This window comes from Homo sapiens, chromosome 18 (genome assembly GCF_000001405.40).
Source record: "Homo sapiens chromosome 18, GRCh38.p14 Primary Assembly".
NCBI lineage: Eukaryota > Metazoa > Chordata > Mammalia > Primates > Hominidae > Homo > Homo sapiens.
Genome location: NC_000018.10, coordinates 46,619,936 through 46,639,591, shown reverse-complemented (window position 1 = coordinate 46,639,591; position 19,656 = coordinate 46,619,936). Strand labels below are relative to the sequence as shown.

General features: G+C 46.6%; 1 protein-coding gene across 2 annotated transcripts in view; it reads left to right on the top strand.

Annotated features, from left to right (window-relative positions):
- LOXHD1 (lipoxygenase homology PLAT domains 1) overlaps positions 1-19,656 on the top strand; it is a 180,260-nt gene that overhangs the window by 17,629 nt on the left and 142,975 nt on the right. The gene's annotated exons all lie outside the window — the stretch shown is intronic.

The following is a 19,656-nucleotide window of genomic DNA, read 5'->3' as shown; positions in this document are numbered from 1 at the left end:
GCCATCCCTCCCTAGCTGGGCTGGGCTCACCCAGGAAAGAATCGTGCCTGTCTTGCTCTGGGCAGTCTCACCTACCTCATCTTGGCATGCCTCCAGGGCCTTCCTGTTGGTTAGGGCCAAGGGGAAGCCCCATATCTTCCTGGGGTCTTCCTATGGGCAACTTTTTATGCTCTAGGGGTTCAAGGAGGTGGGAAATACAAGAGGGATTGGAGGCATGATGGAAGGATAGGCACAGCCCTGAGCAAATCCTGTGTTCTCAATGATTCTTGTTGATGGGGTATCTATCGGAAGTCCCCTTTGAGATCAAGGCAGCCTTCCCCATTTTCCTATCCTTTTTCTTTTCTTACGATGCCCAAGGCAGGTGAGTTACAGCCAAGGCATAGTGGGTAGGAATCAGAGCTTGCAGCAGCCAGAGCTCATCATGCTGCCCTCTGACTCCTCCTGATTTTATGAGGAGTAAAACAACTTATTTCAAGTGACATCTCTGGGCAAAGGCCTTAAATTCGATCATTTTAATTTTACGGGAATAATGGGAGGCAGATACATTTGTCCCCCAAAGTTCTGGCCTCATCTCATCCCATCACAGAACATATTTGCTTTTCCAAAAAGGGGGGCATTACATTGCCGGCACCATCACCAGAATACCCTGCTCTCATAGAGTCATGGACCATGAGAGGGGAAGGGACTTTGGAGCCAGGAGATGAGAAGTGGCTTCCTACAATCACTCAGTTGAACAACAGAAGGCTAACACACTTGTTGGAGTCTGCCTTCCAGCGTGTACTCCAAGCTCCACCCTTTATCCATTGTCTTGATGGGCTTTAGCTCTCAATTTCTGTATCTCCAATTTTCTACCTCCCAGCTAAACTTGACACTTGACTTGTTCCTCTGTGATTCCTATCATCATAACTTACAACTTCATTGATTATTTTATTTTTATTTTATTTGTTTATTTATTTTTGAGATGGAGTTTCACTCTTGTTGCCCAAGCTGAAGTGAAATGGCACAATCTTCGCTCACTGTGATCTCTGCCTCCTGGGTTCAAGTGATTCTCCTGCCTCAGCCTCCTGAGTAGCTGGGATTACAGGTGCCTGACACCACACCCAGCTAATTTTTTGTATTTACCGTAGAGACGAGGTTTCACCATGTTGGCCAGGCTGGTCTGAAACTCCTGACCTCAGGTGATCCACCCACCTCGGCCTCCCAAAGTGCTGGGATTACAGGCATGAGCCACCGTGCCCGGCCATTGATTCTTTTTAAAACACATTATTGATCTTTTCTCTGATTATAGAAACCAAATTTGATCATTGTAGAAAATTTAGAAAATAGATATATGCAAACATGAAGAATACTTGTAATTCCATTACTTGAAAAAACAACACTGGTGACATTTTTATGTCTTCATTTCTAGTCTTTTTTATGCATATATAGTTTAAATGAATGGGCTGGTGCAACACCCCGTTTCACAGCATGACTACTTCTGTGCCATTAAATATTGCTCGACACCCCTCCTTGGAATGGCTCTGTGGTGCCCTGGAGCATGGAGATACCATCATTTATTCACTGGATCCCTTATCATTGGACATTTGTACTGTGCTCCCCCTCTAAAAAATTTTTGCTATTATAACAATGCTATTATAAATACTTCACCTAAATCTTTGCACAGGTTTATGATTCTTTCCTTAAGATAAACTCCTAAGTGGAATTTCTAAGTCAAGTGGAATGTACATGCTTAAAGCTTTTGAGGGACATTTCTGAATTGCTCTAGATAGGGTGTATCTTTGCACAGTATTACCAGCTGTGTAAGGGTGCCCATGTCCCTCACCCTTGCCAACATTTGGTAGTATTGTTTGATTATCCAGTTGGATAATTAAAGGGGATTTTTGATGTCCTTTCTTTGATTACTGGTGAGGTTGAACTTTTTTCATACATTTATTGGCAATTTTTATGTGTGTGTGTGTGTTTGTGTGTGAGTATGAGAGAGAGAGAGAAAGAATTTTTTGCCTGGGCCCTTCACCTGTTTTTTCAACTGGGGTGAATTTCATAGGTTCTTCCACAAACATTAAGCATCTTTAATTCTTTATCCAACCTCTACTATGATCAATCGTTAGCACACTGTCAAACTTGCCACTTTTCAGCTCATCTGACCTGCTTTGGTCACTCAAAAATCCAGGGTTCCACTGTCAGGAGAAGAGCCTCTGAAAAGTCATCATGAGAAACAATTCATGTAACTCAGTGGTTCTTCAGGGTTCCACAAGAATCCTCAGGGTAGACACCCCCTGACCTAGTCTTTGTATGAGGCTTCCTGGGCCCCCAGCTCCTTCACAGGCTAGAGGGCATTAGGTTCTTAGTATTTCCAGGCTGGATTCCAGAGAATGGAATGAAAAAGGGGTTCAAATATTCCAATGGTTTTTTTCTGTTTGTTTGTTTGTTTCCTGTTTTTGTTTTGAGGCGGAGTTTCCCTCTTGTTGCCCAGGCTGGAGTGCAATGGCACGATCTCGGCTCACTTCACCCTCCACCTCCCGGGTTCAAGTGATTCTCTTGCCTCAGCCTCCTGAGTAGCTGGGACTACAGGTGTACACCACCACACCCGGCTAATTTTTGTATTTTCAGTGGAGATGGAGTTTCTTCATGTTGGCCAGCCTAGTCTCGAACTCCCAACCTCAGGTGATCCACCTGCCTCTGCCTCCCAAAGTGCTGGGATTACAGGTGTGAGCCACTTCACCCAGGCTTCAAATATTCCAATGACTGCATTGGTAAAGAAAAAGTTAAATTTCTTTGCTTTTCACCTGAAATTACGTCAACTTGGTATTTGGCTGCTACTTCGATGATAAAAATGGGGTCTATTATTTCATCCATGAAGTTTGGTAGGTAAAATATTTCAAAACATGCAATATGGACAGTAACAGGAGAGAGTAAAGGGGGGCATGTTCAGTGAACTTATACCACCAGCCCCCAAAGTGGGACAGACTGTTAGGGAGCCTGTTCCTCTCTCCCCACCCTCAAGGGCCAGTTCCCAAAGTTCTGGCTGGCAATCACTGGAACCTTCTCTCATTCCTGCTCTTCAGGGAAGGGAGGTGTTCTAGGCTGACCAACTGACCCTTTGACGGAGGTGATTGGCAGATCCTCGTCGAGTGGAGGGAACTGGACCTTGATCAGGTTTCCAGGTGTTCCTCTAATGGGAATCTTGCATTTCATGCGTCAAGACACAGGTGTGAGGGAGCCTGCCCTACCTGTAGGCACAGAAGGTGAGCTGGGGGGCACCAGGACTGTTGCACAGTACGGTGCCTGACATTCGCTGGAGATGACTGTTTCGTCTCTAGGCTCTTCTTTAAATGCACTTCCTGGGGAAGTACCCAACCTCTAACCCCTTAAAGGGAATGGCATCTTTAGGACTGCCCTCTTCCTTAATGGGGTCCACTGGGTAGAAGGTAGAGATGATGAAAGACAGACAGGAGGTTTCAAGGGAAGGAGGCAGAAGCTGATCAGCCTCACAGTTTTGTGGATAGAAGATCCTAGAACCAAGTTCAATTTCTTAGTCCTTCTCAATTTGTTGGTGGAAATCGCTACATTTGGCATCTTCAAGACATCAAGCAGGACCAACCAAATGGCTGTGGCTTTTGGTTTTCTGGGTCTGATCTCCAGGACTCGGGGATCTATTGCTGGGGTCTGAAGAGGCAGGTTGTTTGTGCTCCCTCAATCCATCTAGGGGGCTCTCAAACTTCAGTAACTCACATTTCATCTTCAAGAGTTTTGCCTGATTCAAGTACTGCTTGCATTATTAATTACTACTACTTCTTTAACTCACTTTTTACAACTTACATTAACTTATAAATTTATTTTAATAAGAAAGTTGATATTACTATCATAAAAAACTGTTATCATTTGCTATAAATGTCAGGCATACACTAGTAGATATTAACATAAATTCACAACATTAGATAAATCTCATATAGCATTGCTAGCATCTTATGTCCCACCAGTGGTATGCAGACTGTACCCTGGTAAACAATACCAGCCTTGATCTGAGAGGAAGGGGAGGCAGGGTGTTGATTACAGAGATGGGTGCACAGAGGCCCAGGGATGTGGGGATCCATCCAAGGTCAAATGGCCAATAGCTGATGGAGCTAGGACTAGACTGTGGGTCTCCTTATTCTCAGTTCAATTGCTTTCTGCCTGCCCCTTGCGTAGGACATGACCAAGGGCAATTAGTCTGGCACCTAAGAGGTCAGAGCCTGTGATTGTGGGGATTGTGGGGGTTAGTTGGGACAACCTCCTGCTGTCACAAGAACCCCTTCTACATAACCCCCATCAGTTGCTTCTCCAGCTTTGGTTTGAGTCAAGCCTTCCTGGAATTAAACCCCCTAGTCTCCCTGAGGCTTCTGCTTGTCTGTTCCAGTGTTTCCGACACAACACAGTGTCTATCTAGGCATCAGCCCTTCAGCTGCCAGAAGACAGGGTTCCGTCCTCTCAGGAACACAACCCCAGGATCCTTGACCTCTCTTTTTGTGGTCCCTTCCCAAGAAGGTACCTACTAGTCTAGAACCCTGTGTTCCAGACAGGGGACCATTAGCACAGAGGAAGGGGCCTCCCTGACTCTGTTATCCTGCTTCTTTTAAAAAAAAATTGTGGTAAAATATGCATAACATAAAATTTGCCACCTTCACCATTTTTAAATGGACAGTTTAGTGGCATTAAGTACATTCACATTGTTGTGCAACCGTCACCACCATCAATCTCTAAAACTTTCTCATCTTGCCACCCTGAAACTGTGCCCATTAAACACTAACTCTCCATTGTTCCCCACCCCTGAGATCCTGGTAAACTCTATTCTACTTTCTGTCTCTGTAAATTTGGCTAATCCAGGAATCTTATACAGGGTGAGTCTAGTCCAGAATGCTTGGGACCAGAAGTGTTTTGGATTTGGGATTTTTTTTTTCTCCAGATTTTGGAATGCTTGCATAGGCCTACTGAGATATTTTGGGGATGGAAGCCAAGTCTATCCATGAAATTCATTTGTTTCATATGTACCTTATACATGTAGCCCAAAGATAATTTTATCCAACATTTCTGAAAATACTGTGCTGGAAGCAAAGTTTTACAGCATTTCATCTGTGACCTGTCACATGAGGTCAGGTGGTATAATTTTCCATTCATGGCATTGTGTCAGTATTCAAAAAGTTTTGGATTTTGGAGGATTTCAGATTTTGGATTTCTGTGTTAGGGATACCCAACTGTACAAGTGGAATCATACAATATTTGTCCTTTTGCATCTAGCTCATTTCACTTAGCATAATATCTTCAGATTTAATCCATGCTATGGCACGTGTCAGAATTTCCTTCCTTTTTAAGGCTGAATAGCATCCCATTGTATGGGTATAACACAACTTATTGGTCCATTCTGTTGATAGACATTGGACTATTTCCACCTTTTAGCTATTGTGATTAATGCTGCTATGAACATGGGCGTACAAATATTTGTTCAAGTCCCTGTTTTCAATTCTTTTGGGCATATACACACAGATTTGCTGGGTATTATATGTAATTTTGAGTAACCACCATACTGTTTTCTACAGTGGTTGTACCATTTTACATTCCTACCAGCAATGCACACGAGTTCTAATTTCTCCAGATCCTGACCAACACTCGCTATTTTCTGTTTTTTAAAAAACAATAGCCATCCTAATGGGTGGGAAATGATCCCTAATGATTAGTGATGTTGAGAATCTCTTCATGTGCTTATTGGTAATTTGCATATCTTCTTTGGAGAATAACCATTCAAATCCTTCATCCATTTTTAAATTAAGTTGTTTATCTTTTTATTGTTGAATTGTAGACCTCTGTTACATATTCTGGGTATTAACCCCTTTTCAGATATATGATTTACAAATATTTTTCTCCCATTCGATGAGTTGTCTTTTTACTCTGTTGATAGTGTCCACTGATGCCCAAAAGTTTTAATTTTTATGAAACCAATTAATCTATTTTTTCTTTTGTTGTCTATGCTTTAGGTGTCATATCTAAAAAATTGCCAAGGTCAATGTCATGAAGATTTTTCTCCCATGTTTTCTTCTAAGAATGTTATAGTTTTTGTTGTTACATTTAGGTCTTTGGTCCATTTTGAGTGAAATTTTGCAGATGATATAAATCAAGGTCCAACTTCACTCTTTTGCAGTGGATATTCAGTTTTCCCAGCACTATTTGTTGAAAAGACTGTCCCTTCCTTATTGAACAGTTTTGGCACCCCTGTTGAAAATTATTTGACTATATATATGATAGTTTATTTCTGGGCTCTCTGTTCTATTCCACTGGTCTATATGACTGTCTTTATGCCACTACCACACTGTTTGATTACTGTAACTTTGCAGTAAGTTTTAAAATCAGGAAGTGTGAGACCTCAAACTTTTGTTCTTTTTCAAGATTATTTTGGCTATTCAGGATCCCTTGATAGGTCACTTCTTTTAATGCATTCCAAATGTTCATTAAGTGATTTTAACAGTGACCATAGGCCATATTTCAGTCAAAAAGCTTTTGTTCATTTGGAAGAAAAGAGGAAAATGCCTTCACCTCAACTCCTCAGTTCTTGCGCAAGACTTCAAGGCTCCTGGAGAAACCTCCTGGATTCTCTTGACTCATCCCCATGTGAATCAGTAGGAGTGGGCGCCCCAGTCTTGGCTGGCTGCCCTCAACCTGTCAATGGAATGGTTCAGTCAGACATCACACGTGAATAAGCATTTCAGACATACACAGAGCCGGCACAGGGAGTTAGCAGCCATCTCTAGGCTTGTCTCACTCTAAGAGTGGGCGTCAGGGGTCCTGGCACCTTCTGGGGCCTGTGGAAGGCTGGCAACCGCTTTTCCAGCATATCCGCATTTATTATCCCTGGGAACAGAGTCTTGGCTATCAAATTGCTCCAGAAGTGTAGTGAATTTTCCCTCCTGCCATCTGCTTGTTGGCATCCCTTCTGTTGTCATGGATGTGTGTGACTGTCTTCCTGGTGGATTTCTTCCATCCTGCCGGGAATGGCTCACCCTCTTGGTAACTCAGAACACAAGGGGCAGAGTAACTGCATGGACATCTCCACACTGATAGCAGCCCCTGGCTGGAAGTTAAGCACTGTCTCCCCTGCCTGCAGGTGCAGCATCATCCTTAGCAGCTGCTGTTGGCAATGCCCTCTTGAGCTGCCCTAAGATGCTGAGCCTGTGGATAAGGACATAGTCCCTGCCCTCAAGGTGCTCACAGTCCAGTGGAGGACACAGATTCCCATCATACAAAGTGCCCACAAGGAGACTGTAGAGCATCATGGCTCAGAGTGCCAGGCCTCAAATCATGGAGTCCTGGGTTCAAATCCCACCCCTACCACCTCCTAGCTATATGACTTTGAGACAAAATACTTCCGTAGCCTTGTGTCTTTGTGTGCATACATTTTACAAGTAGTATCTTCTTAAAACTCCGAGAAGTAGCGGCTATTATTATCCCCACGTTGCACAGGGGACAAAGGTCAAGGCAAGCAGCACAGAGTGCCTCCCCACTGCCTCTTCTGTTTCTTGGTCTAGGGCTAGCAGCTCCCATTTCTCAACCTGTTTGCTCAGATTGTGTTGGCTCCTGTGCCTGGCAGACAGTGGCTCTGAAAGCTGTTCTCTCCAGCATTCATCAACCCTGAGGAGGTTTCAAGGGACCCGTTGGAAGTGGAACTGAGGCCTGAGGGCAGTATTAGACACCCTGTGCTAATCTGTTCAGAGATTGTGGAGTGGAAACCAGACCACGGACAGCCGACAGCTGTTTCTGTGATTCAGGCCCTATCGCATCAAGCCCTGCAAGGACCCAGTGGGGCAGGTCTTTCTGGAGCCCCGGGGCCTGCCCTATTTGCTAACTGAGTTGGCTCCTTGTTCCCAGAGTTCTGTCTCAAGTTGGTGATATAGGAAACTGCGGATCTTCTGTTAAAACGTGCCAGGGCCAGAGGAAATGTCAAGGCCCCTCGCCCCTCACTTCCTCTCTTTCATCCTCCTCTTTTTTGCATGCCACCCCGACCCCACTGGATGGAAAGCCTCAGCCTCTCTGGACGGCATTACCCACTTCCTCTGCCTCAGGTGTCCCCTCCCTCTCTAAACTCTGTGAGGAAAGTCTGTGCCACACACTGCTGTGCAGTGATTCTGCAATCAGGGATATGTAAGGAATCTCACGGGCAGGGAGGAGGACCTTCTCAACCTACTCCCTGTGGTTCACACGTGCTCTGGCAGAATCACCACCAAGATGAGCCACCAAGACTGATGGTGGTGGGGGGGTTGTAGCTGTCAGGTGTTTTGAGATGGATACATTGCCAAGAAATACCATATTTCAGGGCTCTAACTTCCTAATGTGTATCTCTCCAGTTTCTCCAGTGAAGCTCAGGTTGCTCTGAGGGTAACACTGCGGTCTCCTCCTATCTACCTGGTGATGGCTTTTACTCACAGCTGCTACCTTGGCCACTGGGACTTAGGGGCTTGTATGAACGTTGGTAAGGAACAGGTTGTGTGCATATGGTAGTAATGGGAGGTCATGGATAGACACATCTGATTATAAAGACAAGCCACAGAGATGGGTGGAAAGAGCTTTCCAAAGGGGCAGAGACCTGAGTCCTAGCCTCACACTTTGGTAATTATGTGACTCTGGGCAAGTTGCTCATCCTCTCTGGGTCTCTGTTTTCTCATCTTCTTACCAGGTTGCTCGAGATGTTCTCTGAGGTCCCTGTAGCACTGGCTTACTCTGACACTGTGCTAGCTAAGCACCTTCTTTCTTGCTTGCCTCCAGGTGTCTCCCACCCACTGATTTCACACCCCCCCCCATACCCACTTTGATGTTGTCCCTTTTGGTGAGACATTCACAGGACACAGTGCCCAGGTGCAATTCATAAGCCCACTGCAGAGTTGCCCAGGCTGAGAATGCAGGGCTACTCAGTCCTCTTTGACTTCAGGGAAGCCCTGGGCACATCCCTGCCTTCCCTATGGGGCAGTATTGAAGAATGAGGTTGGGCGAGACATCTGAGTTAGGCAAGGCCTGATAAGATGGCGTGTGCTCTCCAGGTAGATTTGGGATGACCTCATATTGGGTCTTGAAGGAGCTTGGGCTGGTAGGGAAGCATGAGCAAGACCTGTTTAAGGCAGATCCTGCCTGGCCTTCTCACGACCAATATGATGTCATTTCCTGCTTTCTGGCCAAGTAATTGCCCACAGCCCAGTGCCTACCCACAAACCCTCCTACTTCGAAAAGCACTGAGATGATCATGTGGCTTAGATTAATATTGAGCCCACACCATACTGCCTGGGGAAGGCTCCACCAGCTTGGCCATGAGACAGGCCTCTGAAGCCAAGAGCTGCGTTGCAGCTGACCTGGGGGCTGCTCACACACCAGGGCTGTCAGAACCCAGCACAACAGCTCAGAAATGTTTCAGACTCAGGCACTGGCAGAAGCAGAGAGGCCCCTTGCATTCAGAGGGCCCAGTCTTGAGGTGGGTCCTGATTCCACACCTGCTCTTGTTCTTTAGGTTTTGGGAAGGACAAGCCACCATCTAGGGGGCATGTAATCTTCTTGGGTAGATTAATAACAAATATGGTTGCAGCCAGTTTTGTTGTATGCTTCAAAGAGAAGAGAGGCTGATGATTACAGGAAAGGGAAGCCATAAGAAGAAACAACAACTTGGGCAGGTGGGCTGGGCGCATGCAGGTGGTGGGAGGGGTGGATGACGTTTACATCTGGACTCCCATTCTGGAGCAAATGAATTGCCTTTTTTTCTTTCTTTCTTTTTTTCTTTTTTTTTTTTTTTAATGCCCAGTGAGAAAGCTGGAGCTGGGGGCTGAAAGCTGCACAGCACTTGGGAATGGGTAGAAATGGAATTGTGTTTGTTTTCAGCATAATCACTGTTTCCATTCCTGGCTGTTTCATCAGGTAACTGGGTTATAGTTTTATTCCAGGCCATGCAGTGCCACACAATGATTATCACACAGCTCCAGATGTGTACCCGATCTTGACATGACCATGTTGGGCGTAGTGCCCAGGGTGCATTTGAGGGGAGAATGGGATAAGAAAGGGATGGTGATTAACGTATTAGGGGCATGTGCAAATTGTACCGCCCTGCAAAGGATTATGGACCTGCCAGAGGACTGCATAGTGCAAATGCAAAATGAAAGTACCCTGCATGATTGGAGCATAAAACACCCATCGCAAAGGCTCTGTCAAGAAGCCAGAAGCACTGACTTATTCCCAGATTCTATAGGATATTATCGTAGAGTAATTAAATCATTAATCTTAAAATAACTCTCTGGGTCAGAAAGCACATGGGACTATACATCCTGAGTTCTGGTTCTGGCTTTGCCACCAAATAGCAATGAGACCTGGGGCAGATCTCAGTTCCCCTCCTATCCTCAGTTTCTCCCTCTGTAGAGTGCCTGGACTAGGGGGTCTCTTGGAGTCTTTTCAGGATTACTAGAGTGTCCACTTTCATAACCAAAGGGAGACGGAGAGGTCAGGGCCAGCCCTCCTCCATGGGGGCAAAAGGAGATTGGCCTTTGGTGGCTTCCTTTCTACTGTGGATCTTTCTGCCCTATTTCATCTCCCCATACTTCCCATCTTCAAGATAGTCCCCCACCATGGACTCGGTCTCTGGACTCCCCTTCTCCATGGTCAAAAGCTAGCTCTGCCATTCTGCCACTTATGCTAGCATGAGCAGATGCCTTAAGCTCTGTGCCTCTATTTTCTCATTTGTAAAGTGGGGAGAACATTAATTTCTACCTGATAAGATTAGCTGGGGAAATGAGCATACAGGACTTAGTGCCGAGGCACAGAGTCAATGCTCAGTAAATGACACAATAGCGTGGTGCTTGTCCTTGTGGTTAAGCTCCTGATGTTTCCCTTTCTTCTTCCCCCACATCCAGGCTTTTTCTGATTCTGAGATGCACAGGCTTAAGATTCTAACCTCTCAGAAAGTACTCCAGAGCTACTCAGTGCCAGGTTCCCCTCTGGAATCCAGGCAGGTTCAAGCAGACAACTGGGAATAGGCTCATCACCTTGACTGCTGTTAAAGCCAGCAGGGAAAGCCTCTTTTCCCGACGCTTTGTCATTTTCCTTCACGGAGCACTCTCCAGGGCTCTCTGAGCCTATTTGCTGTGGGTGCTGCTTGGGAGTCATTGTTCCTTTGAACTCCATGGAAGAATTCCCAGGTGGGGGCAAGGACTCCAGGGTAGGGAGGGCTGGGCCAGCCCTGCAGCACTTTCCTCCACTGAAGCTCACAGCAGCTCCCCGCCCACCCCATCTGCTCCCACCTAGCACTGCAGAAAATCATCTCCGGAAAGAGGGGGAAGAAGAGAACCACTCTAAGTGAGGCCCTGTTGTGGCACATCAGAGAATTTAAGGACCAAAAGGGACTTTATCTACTCTTCCTCCATTTCAGAGAGGAGAAAATGGAAGCCCAGGGAAATTAAGCCCCTTGCTCTTGGTCACACAGCATAACTGTAGGGCAGAGCTGCAGTCTTGGGCTTTTGGTGCCAGCTCATGCTCCTCCATCATTCCTCCTGTTAAGCACATTCATTCAGTGATTCAATGGGCATTTTGCGGGGAGCCTTCTATGCACCAGAGCCTGCGCTCAGGGTGATTACATACAGGCCCTTCTCTCTAGGAGCTTAGAGTCTAGACGGGAGAGAGTCAAGCCAGTAGATAATCACAGTGCAAAGGGATAGAATATTCTAAGTGGGGTATGGCGCCCAGGCCAATGGGAGCATAGAGGAAGAAGGAATCAGGAGGCCTTTATAGAGGAGGTGATGCTCAAACTGAGTCTTCATGGGTGAGGAGTTTTCTAGGATTTGAAATGAAATGAGGGCACTTGGGGAAATGAGCTCTGATGGCTCAGTGTCACTCACACACCTGGGAATGGATCCTCCACCTCATATTTTCACTGTGGCCTCCACCCTCCCAGAACCACCACCAGCCACATTCTCTTTCAACCCAGCAGCCAGAATGTTTGGAGAATGCATGGAATTGTGTATTTGCTTCAAACTTGGTTATTTTTATCTTTAAATAGGTGTTTAAAATAGCCTTTTTTTTTCTGTTTGTGGAAATAGCACTTTCTCCATGTTGCATTTTGTACACACGAAAATCTGAACTGATGACACAGACACTGTCTTGGCCCTGATCCAGCTGTCAGTGTCCATTCCATTGCAGCACCAATGGCTTCCTGCTGGAACCCTCCCTTTAGCCACAGGTGTTGGCCAGTGTGAGCCCAGTGAGAGTCAGAGAAAGTGTTCCCACCTGCCTGGGGCTGGGTCTCTGCTGGTGGCCCTTGTGTCTATTCTCTCTCACTGGCCATCTGGTTCTCAATCTTCCCTCCAGCCTCACAGCCACTCAGACTGGCTCAAGGCATTTGTGTGACAAAGCCAGCTTGAGGTTATAATAAATTGGCAGGAACTTTCGACTGTTTCTTCTGAAATACAGAAGACATGACCTACTCAAGTATTGACATTAGGTGACTTCAGTTTTCAATCACAGAAAAAATATGGCCATTGTAAAAATTCAAAAGTACAAATAAGCAACAGAAGAATAAGAAAATCTTCCATAATCCAATCACTCAAAGATGACAATAGCTGATTTTTATGCAGCACTTACTCAATGGCTGTCATCATTCTCAACAAACTATTAATCTTAATCTAATCTATCCATCCACCTATCTATCTAAACATCCATTTAATTTTCACAACGCTGCAAGGGAGGTTTATTGTTACCCCCATCTAATAGATGAAGGAGACTGAGGAAGGGGGAGGTGAAATCATTTGTCTATAAGGATGAAGCTAGGAGCAAACACAGAGGCTTGAACTTAAGTACTGAGTACAATTGTGTTGGAGACACCCCTGTTAACATTTTGGTGAATTTCCTTCCCATTCTTTAAATTTTTGTTTATGAACATATTAAACCCTACATATTAAAATGGTATTGCATTAAACTCAATTTTATAACCATGTTGTTTCACTTAATACTACATTATAGCCTCAAATCATCTTCTGTTATTTTATTTTATATTTATTTATTTTTTGAGATGGCATCTCACTCTGTTGCCCAGGCTGGAGTGCAGTAGCATGATGTTGGCTCACTGCAACCTCTGCCTCCCAGGTTCAGGTGATTCTCCTGCCTCAGCCTCCCAAGTAGCTGGGATTACAGGCATGTGCCACCACACCTGGCAAATTTTGTGTTTTTTATTAGAGACAGGGTTTTACCACGTTGGCTGGGCTGATTTCAAACTCCTGACTTCAAGTATAATCCCAAAGTGTTGGGATTACAGGCATGAGTCACTGTGCCTGGCCCATCTTCTGTTATTTTAAGTGGCTGCATTGTAGTCCATGAATGGGAGAATATATGTCACCCCCCAAATCTCCTATTTTGGATATCTTTAGGTTGTTCCCTATTTTTTGTCAGTATTAACAATGCTGTGATAGACATCCTTATAGGTGATCAATTAATATAACTACTCCCTTAGTATAAACTAATGCATAGGGCTTGAATAGTTGGTTCAAGGGATTTGCACAATGTTAAGGCTTTTAACATATATCACTCACCTGCCCTCCAGGAAGGCTGGGTGACATTCCAGTAGTATACAAGAAGTGCTGGTGTTCTGGCCCTCTGGGAAGATAAATACTAGCAGTCTACTAGAGTCTGGGTTGGAAAGGGAAGTAATGGAGCCAAGGTTATCGAAATGTGCAGGTGGATGGGAGGGGTCTTCCGTAGAGAGGCAGGAAAGGAAGCAAAGGAGGACGAGTGACTGCAGGGTAGGTAGAAATAGCTCTTCAGGGCTGGGCAGTGGCTGGAAAAGGAACCAGCAGGATAAGCTGAAGGAGTGGAAGCTGATCTACTCCCTCCTATGTTTCAACACCTGATAGTATCAGACTTACATTGGACAGTTCCCTAGAAAAACGTACCAGCTGTATATTTACTTGAGGGTGATGAATGGTATAGGGCAAGCTTGTTCAACCCACCACCCACAGGCTGCATGTGGCCCAGGACAGCTTTGAATGTAGCCCAACAAAAATTCATAAACTTTCTTAAAGCATAAGATTTTTTTGCAATTTTTTTTTTTTTTTAGCTCATCAGCTATCGCTAGTGTTAATGTATTTTATGTGTGGCCCAAGGGAATTCTTCTCCTTCCAGTGTGGCCCAGGGAAGCCAAAAGACTGGATGCCACTGCTGTAGAATGTTATTTCTTGATTTCTGCCCATGAGCAACTTTTAAGGACCAAGTGATGTTTTCATGTTGGTGCATAACAAGGCTTGGCTGAGGTCAAATGCACGGACTGTGTTTGAGCACGTTAGTTGCTAAAGGAACAACGCACACACCGGGAGCTGTGGAATGGGGCCGTGTGGGTTTGGCAGGTGGGAACTTTTGAGAGAACCTGAGGTTTGAACTAAAGCTGGCAGGGTGGGGGCAATGACAGCCAAGAGAGAACCTTCTTGTTCAGATGCCCTGAGTCCAAATCTAGGCTGCACCCTTTCTAATTGTGTGAACACCATCAAGCTTCTTAAGCTCCTGCTTCCATTGCCTCATTACTAAAAATGGTGACACTAGTAGCCATAGGGTCCATCATTGTGAGGATTAAACGATGTGATAGAAGTGAATGGCCCATTGCAATTTCTCGGAGGATCAGAGGCACTTATGATTTTAATAAGAAGTGTGTCTGCAAGGAGAGCAAGGTGGAGGGTATTCTAGGGAGAAAAGTTCCAGTTCTATTTGTAAGACAGTGAGAGGGAGAAAAGACAGAAGAAGAAAGGGAGAAGGGAGAAAAGAAGGAAGTTACAGGAGGAAAGCAAAGGAAGAAAGCCTGTCATCCATCGTCCCAGTGCCTTGTGTGTGGTCCCAGGAGCAGAGAGCATCTCGCAGAGGCCATGGAAGAGCTGGTACAAAGTGATGATGGGAGGGTGGGTTGGATGTACTGGAGGTGGAAGAGTCTGGAGAATGAGGAAGAGACAGTAGACGAGAGCCTGGCTGAGAGGCAATGGGTGTCCAGGCCTGACGAAGGAAGAGGAAACCTTTTGGGGGTAGCATGGGGGAAAGAACTGGAGTCTACATGACTGGGAGGGAATCCATTGGTCGGTGGCCATGAGCCAGCTTCCGGCACCGGCACATGGCATTGTCCCCCCTGCCCATCCTTGGGTTCTGCGGACCAACCCCTCCCCACATCTGTGTGGGCTTGAGTAGTGAGGGGGCCTTCCCTGGCTGGGAGAGAACATTCCCCCTCATCTCCCACCCCCAGGGCAGCCCCCGCTGAATCTCTCTCCCTTGCCGTTTTCATCTCCTCCTACGCAGCGCCTGTGATATCTCACTTCTAGCGTCTTGGCTCTCAGTGAGCGGAAGTGAGGGGTGTCAGGGTGTGAGCCATTGCAGATTCACTTGCGGGTGGGGTAAAATCAGGCCCAATCATTCTCCTTCCAACCCCCTCCTCACCCTCACCTGCTAAAATAGCTAAAGCCACATTCTATTTAAACAGGATCTGGGGATGGGCGAAAGGCAAGGAAAAGAAACTCCACCAGTTCATTCATGATTCTCTGCTTCCTAAGAAAGCCTGGACCACGTGAGCTTCCCTGAGGTTCAGATCGCACTGGGTCTTGATGAGATGGGGGCTTAGTTACGGGGCATATGCTTGACTTCTGTAGTCGGGAATGTGGCAAGCAGCCTCACCAGCTCCGCTGTGCATGCAGCACCGAATTAGGGGGCCCGGCCCCCTCATGGCTCTGCCTCTCTGCATGGCCTGGGGTGGCTCTCTGGAGATGTGTTCTGTCACTGCTGTGTGCTGACTGTTCCAGACAGAGCGCAGGGGAGGCTGTGGGGGTGGCTGGTGCACCAGGCGCAGGCAGGCAGTTCGGGCCTGCCAGTGTCTGCCTTTTCTGGAAGCCCACACAGGCAGCTTCCGGCCAGCCGGCAAGGGACGGATTTCCTGTTTAGAGGGAGCAGCCTTGTGCCCCTGCCACAGGGCCTGCAGAGGAAAAACAGGGCATGTCAGGGCATGTGCATCCACTGAGCAGGGCAAGGGGGGCACAGACAACCCTCTGTTGTGGCCTTGAGTGGGCACTCTATCTTTAGGCTGCAGCTAAGCCCACCTGCACAGGATCCCAGCTCAATTCTGGTTGGCTTTGAAAGGTACCATGTGTTTAGCTTAATCCCTGGTCTACAACCCTCATTGTATATTCTTCAGATCAATGCTTAAATTAATTTGACCTCCCTGAGCACATGCTGACCTTTAGTGGAAGGAGGTGACTATGTGAAAGGTAGGGTTGCTGGTCTCAGATGTGCAGGTCACACACTGCACAAATGCGACTATGTAAGGAGACACAATTCACATCAGAGAGCTTGTAGATTTGTGTGTTTATTATGACAGTTATCCAACAGATGGCAGTAAAATGTCTTGAGAAAGGGATTCTTTTTGCCTAATTTGCACAAAGGTTCCATATAGGCTAATGGTAGCCCTGCTAAAAGGCCAGAGAGAAATCAACTCTAGGGACAACTGAACAACAGATAATACACTAAATGGGTAAATCACAGGCCAGCTCTAGAGCTGGCTTGGGTGACGATTTCCACAATCCATCGCTAAGCCCTGTTTCTCCCAAGCTTGATCAGGAACAGGGGTGCACTCAGTGCTAGCCTCTCTTCCAACTTGACTTTCACCTGTTTCCATTTCTGCTCCTTACTCTCAATCAGGCTATGAACAAAAAGCTTAAGACTAAGATTGCAGAAGCGGTGCTGCCCTCTGTCCCTGCCTTTAGGAAACCCCAGACCACGCCGCCTCTTCTATCAGTGGACTGCCAGGCTCAGCCCAGCCACATGGCATTGTAGGGGCAGGGAAAGTTGGCCCTGCTCATTCACAATGGGCATAGGACATGCTCTACTGCAACAGAGAAAGGGGACTCCTTCCCCAATCTTCAGAGCCTTGAGATGCTTAGCTAATGGTCCAGATATGCTGCCATTATCCTGCAGCCAGCAGCTGACCACCCTGGTCCAGGCAGCTTTGCTCCCATTCCAGGCCACAGAGAGCAGATCTACCCACCACCCCCTGCCTAGAGACAGGCAGAACAGTGCCTGAGAGTTCAAGACATATCCTAACTCTCACCGGTGGCCCAATCCCAGCCTGTCACCTGTTTTTGTGTGGACCCCGAGCTAAGAATGGTTTCTATGTTTTTTAAACAGTTGAAAAGAATTTTTTTAAAAAGTAATATTTTGGGACACATAAAAATTATATGAAATTCACATGGCAATGTCCATAAATAAAGTCTTACTGTAGCATAGCCACATACCCATTTGTTTATGTAATATTGTCTATTGTTGCTTTCATGCCACAACAGCAGAGCTGAACAGTTGATGTGACAGAGACCAAATGGCCTGCAAATCCTAAAATATTTCCTATCTGGTGCTTTACAGAAAAAGTTTGCCCACCCTGGCATAGGGTCTGGGAGGCCTGGGGTATCCTGGGAAAAGCCCTGGATTCAAAGACCAGAGACCTTGCTTTGAGCCCTTCTTGCATCATTTAGCAACTACCTGTCCTGGGGCGAGCCACCTTGCCCTCTGAGCTTCAGTTTTCTTATCTGTAAATGAGAACGTCAACAGCACCTGCCCTGCCTATCACATGTGGCCATTGTGTGGATCAAATGACATCTAGAATATGCAAGTGGCTTGTTAGCTGCAAATGCCTTTGTGAATATTTAGTATTATTTGCCCTGGAAGGTGAATCCACCATGTCATTTTCAGAGATGAAAGGTGACCTTTTGGCTCACATGGGAATTATTTCTTATCATCATCTTTCTCCCTATTTCCCTGCTTCCTGCTGGCCTTTGGGCAGGGATTTTTTTTTTTAATTGGTCTTTCACCTTTCTCTCTGGTCAGTGCCCAGTTGCCAGGGCAGCAGCCCTATCTCATATGTGGGCGTTTTGTTCTCACAGATTACGAGATCCAAGTGATGAGTTCAACAAGCAAAAACCTGCTTGAGACCAGAACAGCAAGTCTGTGCTCACTGAAACTCTAGTCACAGGAAATTGGGGGGCACTTGTGTGACAGGAAGGCTTGATGCCCTGAGCTGACGTTTGCCAACAGTGACAGAATGGAGCCCTGCTTTTCCTCAGCCTTGTTCTCTCATCGGCAGATGCACCTAAGCACAGATCAGGGCCGGCATTGGGCCATGGGCCTTGTTTTGGAAAATGGCAAAGTAGATAGTCTGGGGTTCTGCTTGAAGAGGGAATATGAAATAAAGGAGGTAAAAGAGTAATGTAATAAATGTCAGCATCCATGTATGGGGACTTCTAAAAAATGGTTTCGTGAGGTGTATCTGTCCATCCCTGCTGCAGCTCTTGTCTCCTTCTCAATGTGATTGGCAGTCACCTGTCACACAGGGATCCTATTCTCCACCCAGCCAACTGCATAGGGACTCAGGGCCCCATCTGCCATAGAAAGTTCTGCAGAGGCTAGAAGACAGTCTGCTTGTTCTAGAATCAGCTTCCTCCTGACCTCTGTCCACCTGACTTCCTGATCTCTTGGCTTGGGTCCCTTGTCCACCTCAGCTGGAAAGGCCTAGAAGCTCCTTTCCACCAGCCCTGGTCTCCTGATCTCTGACAGTTGGCCTGTCTCCCCAAATTGCCTCACTTTGGGCTCGTGGTCTGCTTCTCCAGACTTTGCCAGAGCATGGATGCTGTGTGTTCCCAAAGTCCCGTGTGCGTTCGTGCTGCCCAGGCCTCACTTTTCCTCATTCAGGGTGCTTCCCCTTCCTTCTGAGATGTCTCCTTGATCTCCTGGCTTCCCTCCAGAGTCTGTCCTTCTTGGTCAAGTGTCAAGGAATTGCAGATTAAAAAGGACCTTTAGCGTTTCCACATCCTCTCACCTATGGCACTTTCTGTGCAGCATCCCTGGCAGGTGGCTCTCCACCAATGTGCTTGGCACATGCTAACTGTCAGGTGTCTCTAGGGATGGGAAACTCCCTCCCCAACCCAAGGGCATCCATTCCTTTGTTGAATAGCCTTAGATACTACAAAATCTTTCCTTTGGTGAGTGAAAATCTGCTTTATAACTCAACTCGCTAATTAGAATTCTGCCTTCTGGAATGATTCAGAATATTGGCGACTCCTTCAACAAATGCTTCCCAGCCCCTCTCATCCTTTCTCCTGCTTCACTGTGTGCAGTTTCCCCTGGAGCCCTGCTGCCCCTTCCAATGGACTGATGCAACCTTCAGAACATTCCCCGGCCACCACCCTCCCTGGCTTCACCAGACAAGGGGCCCTAGGCATCTTGCCACCCTGAAGAGGGGTCTTGCCTCTGTGAAGTGAGCCCTGGACTGGAGTTGGGAAGGGTTGTGAGCCAAAATGAATGTTCTCAGAGGCACTGCCAGCCAGGGAGGAGAGAATCAAGGCTGGGGGGCGGCCTCTGGAATATGGAAGATGGTAAAAGCAGAATTAGCTAGCCACGGCTGAGGCCTCCCTGGTCCTTACAAACAACATGGCTCAGAAGCTCTGGGAGGGAAACCTGGAATCTGCCCGTTTAACACCTGCCAGGTGTTACTGCCAGGTAACCTGAGTGTGGCTCCAGTTTCAAGCTGCTCACCTCAGAGTTCCCTGACCTGGCCTCTTCCAAAACCTCCGGTTCTGGCTGCAGTCTCAGAGGATCTTCACT